Source organism: Homo sapiens, chromosome 11, assembly GCF_000001405.40.
Source record: "Homo sapiens chromosome 11, GRCh38.p14 Primary Assembly".
Taxonomy (NCBI): Eukaryota; Metazoa; Chordata; class Mammalia; order Primates; family Hominidae; genus Homo; species Homo sapiens.
In genome coordinates this window covers 124,599,624-124,610,951 of record NC_000011.10, presented here as the reverse complement: position 1 = coordinate 124,610,951, position 11,328 = coordinate 124,599,624, and the positions used below count along the sequence as shown (strand labels likewise).

Here is an 11,328-nt window from a genome sequence, read left to right as displayed (position 1 = left end):
AACTACATATTTACAATTTCCAATTCCTTTTTAGCCCTTGGGTTCTTTACAAAGCTGGGGGATGCATGGCAGTGTTGAGTCATGGAAAGAGTACAACCTTTGAAATTCGGAGGAGAAACTCCTCCACTGGAGACCTAGGAGTACTCAGGTTTTAACTGTGTGACTTCAGGCAAGTCACTTTTAGCTCAGTTTCCCCATCTCTCAAATTGTGATATGTAACAAGCTTACAAGACTGTGGGGATTGATTAAGAGTATTGTTTGTGAAGGTGCTTTGTAAACCGTAAAGTGTAGCAGAAGTGTCAGCTCTTATTTCAATTTGGTGGGGGTGGGTAAGTGGAGAATAGGGCACTCTTGTCTCTAGTGTTGCCCTTAAACTGGCAATAGAGGCTCTTAACCTTATCCTCTTTGGTTGTGTCCTTCTCATGAGGCAAGGAGTACGTGGGCCCAAGGGGATGTGTCCATTCAGAGTCTGTGCACCCAGCTAGAAACCACTCTCTAAGGCCCTGCCCAAATGGCCTCAGCCTGCTTCCCAGACCTGTGTGGGCCTTTTTTTCAGGGGCAACTGCCCAAGGGAAGATTGTGCTGCTGGTGTGCACTTCTAGGCCCAAGGAATGGCTGGTTGTCAGGGTTTGGATGCAATTTATAAATCTTGGGGTGTCCACACATGCAATTCTGAGGTTTTTTGCAATGTGGGTGTTAGCTGAGTTGGGAAGAGAAGATTGGGCCAGGGGCTTGGGAGAGTCTGAGGATTCTAAATTTGAATCTGGCATTCCTGATCATTATGAAGCTGGGGTGTGTTTGTCTATATATGTCTAGGTGAGCAAGAATAACATATTTTATTTAACAGTTTGTTAACTTGGTTTATAACTTTTAATATTTTAGATATATGGTATGTGGATCTGTATTTGAACTTTTTTCTCCTAGGCCACAAATGTTTGGGCTGGGCTTACCTCTCTCCCCATCCCACAGGCTAGAGGCCAACTTGGATTCAGAGCTGCCCCGCGTGGGCTAACTGGCGTGTATGGGTCATGGGGCAGCAGAAGGGACCCTTTATTTCTATTCCCCATTACCCTCCCCACACCACATTTCTGTATCTTTTAATTAGGCATGTTTTTGCCAAATGTTTATTATTAGTTTGTATGCATGCATATCCTTTTACTTTTTAAAAATACATTTTTATTGAGAAATAATGTACACACCTTAGTATTGTGTACGGTGCACACAACTTGGGTGACGGGTACACTAAAATCTCAGACCTCACCACTATGCAGTTTATCCGTGTAACCAAAAACGATTTGTACCCCAAAAGCGATTGAAATAAAAAATTAAAAAGACCAAAAAACGAGAGAAAAATTCACATACCATAAGGATGCAGTTTAATAAATACTCGTCTGATCAAGAAACAGAACATTACGAGCACCCCAGAAACCACCTCTGTGCTCCTCTCTTCCAGCTTTTCCAAACGGTAAGCATTATATAAACTTCTAATTGATTAGTTTTGCTTTTTTATACATTATGAAAATGGAATCTTGTGTATTTACTCTTTTGTGTCTGGCTTCTTTTGCTCCACATCATATTTATGAGAATCATCCATTTCATTGCCTGTTTTTGTACTTTATGTAAATGGAATCATGTGCATGTGTTTATGTGTCTGGATTCTCTGCTCAACATATTTTTGAGATTCACCATGTTGCATGTACCAGAAATGCGTTTCCTCTGTGTAGATATATAACAATTTGTTTATCCATTCATAAGCTGACAGATATTTGAGTTTTCAGGTTCTGGATGTTATGAGATACTGTTGCTGTGAACATCCTAATATGTGTCTCCTGGTGAATATATGTATGCACTTATGTTGGGTACATATTGAGGGGTGGGATTGCTAGGTCATAATGCTATGCATATGTTTATCTCTATAGTTTTTCAAGAGGTTGTTTCAGTTTACACTTTCACCAACAGCTTATGAAAATCCTAGTTGCTGCACATCCTTGACATTACACTTTTGGAATTAAAATTTTTTTTAAGCCATTTTGGAAGGTGTATAGTAGTAATGCAATGTGGTTTTAACTTGAATATCTCTGTTGACTAATGAAGTTGGCTACTTCGGCCATTTGGATATCTTCTTTTGTGGATGGATGTGGGTGTACGTCTGAGTCTTTTGCCTGTTTTTCTGTTGGGTTGTCTGTCTTTTGCTTATTGATTTGTAGTACTCTTTCAAATATTCTGGATGTGAGACCATTGCTAGCAATATGTTTTATTTATATCTTCTTCCACTCCACTTGTTGCCTTTTCATTCTCTTAATGGTGTCTTTTGATGACCAGAATTTCTAATTTTAATACAGTCAATGTATCATTTTTTTCTATGGATAGTGCTATATGTATTCTGTTTAAGAAGCAATTGGTTATTAATTACAATACCATGAAAAATGTTTCCTAGGTGTTCTCCAAAATATTTTTGTTTTATCTTTCTCATTTGGGTCTGCAGTTCATCTATAATTTTTTTTAACATATGGTATGAGATATGAGTCAAGAAATATTATTTTCCATATGGCTATCCAGCTGACTCAGCACAATTTATTGTAAGACCTTTCCTTTCTCATTGCAGTGCAGTGTTGTCATGGTCATAAATCAGGTGACTGTGTTCCAGCTGACAATGTCTTTTTTTTTTTTTTTTTTTTTTTGCCAACACTACAATATCTTAGCTAGTATAGCTTTATAGTAGGTCTTGGCACCTGTAGTGTAGATCTTCCAGTTTTATTGTTCTTCAGGATTGCTCTGGCTATTTTGGATCTTTTGCATTTCTACATGAATTTTACCATCAGTTTTTGAATTTCAGCAGGAAAGAAACCTGCTGGAATTTTTGATTGTGACTTTAATTTACAGCTTAATTTGGGAAAAATTGCCTTCTTTACAGCATTTAGTCTTCAAATCTATGAACATGGCATATCCCTCCATTTGCTTAAGACTTCTTTCTGAGGCCGGGTGCAGTGGCTCACACCTGTAATCCCAGCACTTTGGGAGGCCAAGGTGGGTGAATCACCTGAGGTCAGGAGTTCGAGACCAGCCTGGCCAACATGATGACAACCCATTTCTAGTAAAAATACGAAAAATTAGCTGGACGTGGAGACAGGTACCTGTAATCCCAGCTACTCGGGAGGCTGAGGCAGAAGAATCACTTGAACCCGGGAGGTGGAGGTTGCATGAGCCGAGATCGTGCCACTGCACTCCAGCCTGGGCAACAAAAGTGAAACTCTGTCTCAAAGAAAAAAAAAAAAAAGACGTCTTTCTGTCCGTAGCAACTTTTGGTTTTAAGTGCAGATGTCTTACACATCTATTGTTGGATTTATTCCTAGGTGTTTGATGTTTCTTGATGCTATTGTTAACCATATATTTTTTAAAAAATTGATTTTCTAATTGTTTGTTGCTCACATATGAAAATACAACTGATTTTTGTACACTGATCTTGTATACGTCAATCTTATTGAATTCATTTATTGATTCTAATAGTTTGTAGATTAATTCAGATTTTTAAAAATCTATACAACCATATCATTTATGAAAAATCACAGCTTTCTTTCTTTCTTTCTTTCTTTCTTTCTTTCTTTCTTTCTTTCTATCGTTATGCCTTTTATTTATTTTCTTGCCTTATTACACTGGTTAGGCCATCCAGTATAATATTGAATATGAGTAGTGATAATGGGTATCTCTGTCTTGTTCCTTCTCTCAGGCGGAAAGTTTTCAGTGTTATTATTGAGCAGGATGTTCATTGTAGGTTTTTTTCCTTTTTTTTTATTGGTAGGAATTCTTTTTCACATTAAAGAAGTTCTCCTTTATTCCTAGCTTGCTAAGTGTGTTTGATATGAATGAATATTCAATTTTTAAAAATATTTTTTCTGCATACTTTGAGATGCTCATATGATTTTTATCTTTATGTGTATTATTTTGATGAGATATATTGATCAATTTTTGAATGTTAAATTACTCTTGCATCTGTGAAATAAATCTCACTTAGTTCAGATATATTACCTTTTAAATTTTTTACTGGTTTCAGTTTGCTAATATTTTGTTAAGGATTTTTACATTTCTATTTAAAAAGAAGAAAGAACTTGATTTAATTTTCCTTTTTTATCAGGTCTTTGGCAGGTTATGCTGGCCATGCCAAAAGAGTTAGGAAGTATTTCTTCTTTATCTGCCTCCTCTTGTAAGAGTTTGTGCAGTATTGGTATTATTTCTTCATTAAATATTTGGCAGAATTTACAGGTGAAACCACCTAGTCTTGGGATTTTCTTTGTGTGGAATTTTAGTAATGGATTCAATTTCCTTAGTCAATATTTGACTATTCAGATTTTCTTTTTTTTAACTTTTACTTTATTTTATTTTTTTTGATATGAAGTCTCACCCTGTTGCCCAGGATGGAGCACAGTGGCGCTATCTCGGCTCACTGCAACCTCTGCTTCCAGAGTTCAAGCGATTCTCCCACCTCAGCTTCTGGAGTAGCTGGGATTACAGGCGTGTGCCACCATGCCCAGCTAAGTTTTGTATTTTTAGTAGAGACAGGGTTTCACCATGTTGGCCAGGCTGGTCTCGAACTCCCAACCTCAGGTGATCCCCCCGCCTCAGCCTCCCAAAGTGCTGACATTACGGGCGTGAGCCACCGCGCCTGGCCTGACTAATCAGATTTTCTAGTTTCTCTTAACATAGCTTAAATGCACTAGCTTTCTATTGTTGCATAAAAAATTACCCCAAAATGTAGGGCTTAAAACAAAAAAAATTTATTATCTCAAATATTCTACAGATCAGAAATTTGGGAGGGGCTTAGCTAGGCTGTTCTGGCTCAGGGTCTAGTGAAGGTGTTGATTGGGGCTGCAGACATCTATACTCACTGAGCGGTTACTGGCTGGGAGTCTCAGTTTCTTGCGGAGTGTTGGCAGTAGGCCTCAGTTCCTTACTGCATAGGCCTCTCCTTAGGGTGACATGGGTGCTGGTTTTCCCAGAGCAGGTGATCCAAGAGAGAAAGCAAACAGGAAGCGACAGTGCCTTGCATGACCTAATCTCTGAAGTTGCAACTGCTATTTCTGCTTTTTACTATTCACTAGAAGGAAGTCATTAAGTCCCCATACCCACAGGGAAGGGAATTAAGCTACACAGTTTAAAGGAGTGTCAAAGAATTTGAGAACTATTTTAAACCATTATATTAATAAGTTAAAAATTTGAGAAAATTGTCCATTTTCCATTCAAACTGTCAAATTTGTTGGCATACTAGTAATCATAATATCCTCTTATATCAAATTGTATTATGTAATTTTATATATATAGCAAGGTTGAAAGAATTTTATAGTGAATGCTGGCAATCCTTAATTCTATCATTAGCACTTCACGTGGTTTGCTTTGTTATTCATCTATCCAGCCTCCGTGCACCCATTAATTAATCTTTTTTTGGATGCATTTCAAAGTAAGTTGCAGACATTGATATTCTCTTCCCTAAACATTTCAGCATGCACATCAACTATACCTCAATGTTGATTTACAGGTTTTTTGTTTTTTTTTTGGAGACGGAGTTTCGCTCTTATTGCCCAGGCTGGAGTGCAGTGGCACAAGGACTCGGCTCACTGCAAGCTCCACCTCCCGGGTTCAAGCGATTCTCCTGCCTCAGCCTCCTGAGTAGCTGGGATTACAGGTGCCCACCACTTCGCCCAGCTAATTTTTGTATTTGTAGTAGAGATGGGGTTTCACCATGTTGGTCGGGGTGGTCTTGAACTCCTGACCTCAGGTAATTCACCCACCTTGGCCTCCCAAGGTGCTGGGATTACAGGCATGAGACACCACAACTGGCCTATTTACAGTTTTTTTAGAGGTAAAATTTACATACAATGAAATGAACAAAGTTGAGGTGTGCATACATGGAGTTTGACAAATGCATACACCTGTGTAATCCACACCCCATTACAATTAGAACATTATCATCACTCCAGAAAATTCTGCTTGATTATTTTTTAAAGATCCTAGTTTTCTGGCAGAAATATCCATAACTTTCTTTTTTTTTTTTTGAGACTGAGTCTCACTCTGTTGCCCAGGCTGGAGTACAGTGGCGCAATCTCGGCTCACTGCAACCTCCGCCTCCCAGGTTCAAGCGATTCTCCTGCCTCAGCCTCCCGAGTAGCTGGGATTACAGGCACCTGCCACTAAGCCCAGCTAATGTTTTGTATTTTTAGTAGAGATAGGGTTTCACCATGTTGGCCAGGCTGGTCTCGGACTCCTGACCTCCTGATTCACCTGCCTCCGCCTCCCAAAGTGCTGGAATTACAGGCATGAGCCACCGCGCCCAGCCCATAACTTTCATCTAATTCACCCATCTTATATTTTCTTGATCTTGCTAATCGGAGTTATTTTAAAATTCTTATTGCTAACTCCAGAATCTGGGTAGTCTATGGATCTGCTTTTACTGTCTACTTTTTCTCTTCTTTATTGGTCATGTGGTCTCATCTCCTTGTATATCTAGTAGTTTCACATTGTATGCTGAAGACTGTGTATACAAAACCATAAGAACCATAGATGTTCTAGATGATGCTATCATTCACTAAAGATGGCTCACCCTTCTACTAGGTAAATAGGGTGAGAAGCTGATTACAATTCTACCAGGAACTGAGCATGGTTAGGCCTGTGTTGGAATTTTAGTAAGGTTCTGTCTACAGTTAGTTTTCCCTGTTCCTAAGCTTGACCTTTCCAGGTTTTTGACTGAGAACCTGTTGGGTCTTTTCTCTTAAGCTATGAAAGATTGAGAAGTTCTATTATCCTCTTTAGAGGATTTCCATTTAGCACTTTAGCCTCCTACTGCTTCAAAATCTGGCAAATGTTAGACACTGGCTCAGTGAGTTTGGATCAGTGAGTTCAGTGCAGACCCCGTCCCTCTGGAGGGTCTTCGTTTTCTAAGCATCACAGAGTGTAGCAGTTTTCACTTTGTATTTTAGAAACTTCTGTTCTGGTCTTCAGTTCACATGACTCTAGCGCTCAGTCTATGTCCTCTGGGGACAACTGGCCATGTGTGTGAAGTCCCTCAAGTTTCTAATTGTCACTCCATCTGGTAAGAATCATTAAAAGCTTTGATGGTTTATTTTTTTCTCAACAGAGGCCCTGTGCTTGGACCAAGTCTCCTAGAAACAGAAATAACTTGTTATCTTACTGCAAAATAGTTCTGTTTCCTCTGGAATTTCAATTCCTCTCATTCTCATTTCTTTCATAGCTTCCAGATATCCATAAAACATACTTTTTGTTATTGATACAGCTTTTTCTATTTGTTGCTGCAGGAGCATTCACCTGCCATGCTATGACATGACATATTGCACCTTACTTGAAAGTCTGTGCTTTGTAATTTTAATATACATAAGTGATATTCCATGTTATATTTCATTCTGTTTCTTATTTTTAAAAACACTCAGGCTGGGCGCAGCGGCTCACATCTGTAATCCCAGCACTTTGGGAGGCCGAGGCGGGCAGATCACGAGGTCAGGAGATGGAGACCATCCTGGCTAACATGGTGAAACCTCGTCTCTACTAAAAATACAAAAAAATTAGCCAGGCATGGTGGCGGGCACCTGTAATCCCAGCTACTCTGGAGGCTAAGGCAGGAGAATGGTGTGAACCCAGGAGGTGGAGCTTGCAGTGAGCCGAGATCACGCCACTGTGCTCAGCCTGGGAGACAGAGCAAGACTCCGTCTCAAAAAAATAAAATAAAATAAAATAAAATAAATAAAAAAACACTCAGCACTTTAAAGTCAATCCATGTTGTTATGTCCACAGCAAATCTGTTTCTACTGCTGCAAAATACTTTACCTACTCACTTGCCTATTGATGGAGACTCATTTTACTTCCACAAATAACATACATTTCCCCTCATGGTCCTAAAGGAAAATTCAGTTGGGATACACGTCCAGGTCTAGAATTTCTAGGTCCTCTGGGGCTACTGCTGTAAAATGATATCTTGTTACTTTAATTGTCTTTTCTCCTGATGACTAATGACTTTGAGCTCTTCATATGTGCACTATTTCTGAGTAACAAATTACTTTAAAAATTAGCATCTTAAGGCTGGGTGCGGTGGCTCATGCCTATAATCCCAGCACTTTGGGAGGCTGAGGTGGGTGGATCATGAGGTCAGGAATTCAAGACCAGCCTGGCCAAGATGGTGAAACCCCATCTCTACTAAAAATACAAAAAATTAGCCGGGCATGGTGGTGGGCACCTGTAATCCCAGCTACTTGGGAGGCTGAGGCAGAGAATTGCTTGAACCCAGGAGGTGGAAGTTGCAGTGAGCCAAGATCGTGCCACTGCACTCCAGCCTGGGTGACAGAGTGAGACTCCATCTAAAAAAAAAAAAATTAGCATCTTAAAACAACAAACATTTATTATTTCCCAGGTTCTGCAGGTCAGGCATTTGGTAGCATCTTAGCTGGGTTGCTGTGACTCAGAGTTGCTCAAAGGTTGCAGTCAAGAGCTTGGCTTTGGTCATCTGATGTCTCAGTTGGGATTGGAAGAGTCACATCCTGGATGGCTCACTCATGTGGCTTTTGGCAGAAGGCCTCAGTGTGGCAGGAGGCCTCAGTGCTTCGCCACATGGCCCTTTCCATAGGGCTGATTGAATGTTCTCACTACATGGCACCTGCCTTTCTCTGGAGCAAGCAATCCAAGAGAGGACAAGGCAACAGCATGAATGCGTCAGACCTACGGGAAAAACCCAGAGCTTGCCCTTTGTAAAGCTGATGTGGAGGATGCTGGAGAGAAAAGGAGTAGGAAACAACTGTTAATCTAGTGACTACAATATTGCATCAAGTAAAAAAGAAAATTGTCCTATCAATATCATAGATGCTAGTGCATGAGAGAAGTATGACTGATGAATAACTCACACTAGTACTATTTTAATACAAGGCAAAATATCTATTGTTGTACCAGTCAACTCCATATAAATACTACAACTACCAGCAGGGAGCTGACTTGATGAAATGTGATGACAGCAGTTGCTGGTCCGCATGTTACGCTTGGCCATGACAATATAAACACGAAGCACTACAAAGCTGTGACATGCCGTCCTCATAGGAGATGATGGTCTTCTCTAACACAAACTTCACCAGTATTTTAGGGGTACTAATAGAGCAATTGCAGTGATCCATAAATGATAAATTTCTGATGACGTAGTACATGGGAGGGTGAAGCTGAGAATTAAGGAAAACTAGAGTGATCAAGATGAGGGCCCCCACTACGGTTTTCAAACAGATCCCTAGAAGAGGGGGAGCTGGAGCCCTTGCTGGCTTTTTCCTGAGAATGAACTCTGTCACCGTAGAGTGACTTTCTGCTGCCATTTTCCTGGTGGAGCTAGGTATGAGCATCTCCCCTGACTGAGCTGTTTCCTGCATTTTACTCATGCCATTACTACTAATGTTCTCTAGGAATCAGACCAGCCAGAGAATGTTCCAGAGATCGAATTAGTTGGAATAAATGAGCTAGACCTGGAGTTTTCACTGTGTATAAGCTTTTCACATATTTAAAGATGAAAATTTTTATGTTTTACTTCTTGGGTTTGGATGCTTACTTTGCTTCTGAAATTTAATCTCCCTTTTTGTATAGGCAATCCCAAAATATTCACTAGGCTTTGATAATATAAAACTAACATTATTCCAAATCTAGAGAGTACAGTGTAGTGTGGTTATAGTTAAACTACTTACCGAGTGACAAGTCATTTCCTTATCCATAAAATGAAGAGTAACAACGTCAACTCCCAAGGCATGTTGTAAGCATAAAGGGAGATAATGTGTATGCAAATGATTTTCCAAATGCTTAGTTGCTATAGAAATGTAAGTTGCCCTCAAGCATCTGTAAATCATCCTTAGTTTTCCCCTGGACTTGAAGCTCTATGATCTAACACAGCGGGTGTCCTTCCACTTTGGGGGAGGTTAGTTAGCAGCGAAATCAGAGGGAAGTCGATGGGGTGAAAATGTCATCTGGTGGTTCCTGAGAAATCATTTCAAAAAGGAGTACAATCTGCACCCTGACAGGCCATGCATATCAGTATTAATGGAGCTCAACAAGTTGAATTTTAATACACACAGATGTAAAAGTCTGAAGACCATGAAGAAACATTGGTGTAGGTGTCTGCATGTGTCATGTCTGTGGTATTGGCACAATGTTACCAAAGAATAAAGAAAAGAAGAATTGTACACACCCACCAAAGCATGCATGTTATCACAGTTACATATTTGTGAAAAATTACATATATGTTTGTGGGTATATGTATTGAAAATGAAAGAAAATATGAAAAGAAATAGGATATGCCACTTTGTGTATTTATGCCAATAAGTAGGTTTGCTTCGCATATGAAATTGAATCCAATAAATTTGTACTTGGGCTTAAGCCATGTGGGTGTGGAAAAGCCAACATCTATGACTCTAGGCAGGAGGTTGTGTTCTGCTACAGAAGGAATAGTTAATGTCAACTGAGAATTTCGTTGTTTATTTGGGCAAACTAGACTTGGAATGTAGTTTATCCTGAGAAAAATAAAGGAACTAAGAAAAATAGAAAAGATCTATTGCCTCCTTCTATGCTCAGAGGAGCTCAGGAAAGTTCAGGTTAGGTCAGGTTTAGAAGTAGGTGGAACTAGAAATAGAATATAACATGCTCAAAAATCAAAAGCAAAGTAATCTGAATGGAGAACTGGATTCTCTTCCACTGTGTGCCCTTTACATTGAGGTCCCAAAAAGTCTTTGTGTCCTTGACTTCCTCTTCCCATGTCACATTTTACCCCTGAAAAATCTCAACCGCTCCTATTGCTTCACCATTTTTCTATTTTTTAGCTTTGATTCCCAAATCAGTGTTTATTGGTTTTCCACTTTTAGGGTCAACCTATGGTCAGGGCAGAAAGGTTTGTAGCTGATGATAATTGTATGTTGCTGCCCAAGAGGCCTGCTAGAGGAATCTTGGGACATTTATGACAAAAAAGGCAGGTTAACATTTGGTCTTTAAAAAACAATTGCTTTTAAAACTATACAACTCTTAGAAGAAAACGCAGGGATAAGTTTTCATGACCTTGGATTTGGCAGTGGATTCTTAGACACAACACCAAAAGCAGGAGCAACAAAATTAAAAATAGATAAATTAGGCTTTATCAAAGTTGAGTGCTTTTTTGTGCATTCAAAGAACACTATCAAGAAAGTGAAAAGGCAATCTATAAAATGGGAGAAAATATTTGGAAGTTATATATCTGATAAGAGTCTAGGATCCAGAATATATAAATAACTCTTAAAATTCAACAACAAAAGACAAACAATTCGATTACATGGGGAA

General features: G+C 39.4%; 1 pseudogene; it reads right to left on the bottom strand.

The window, feature by feature from the left end:
- On the bottom strand, positions 8,693–9,349 carry OR8Q1P (olfactory receptor family 8 subfamily Q member 1 pseudogene; annotated as a pseudogene).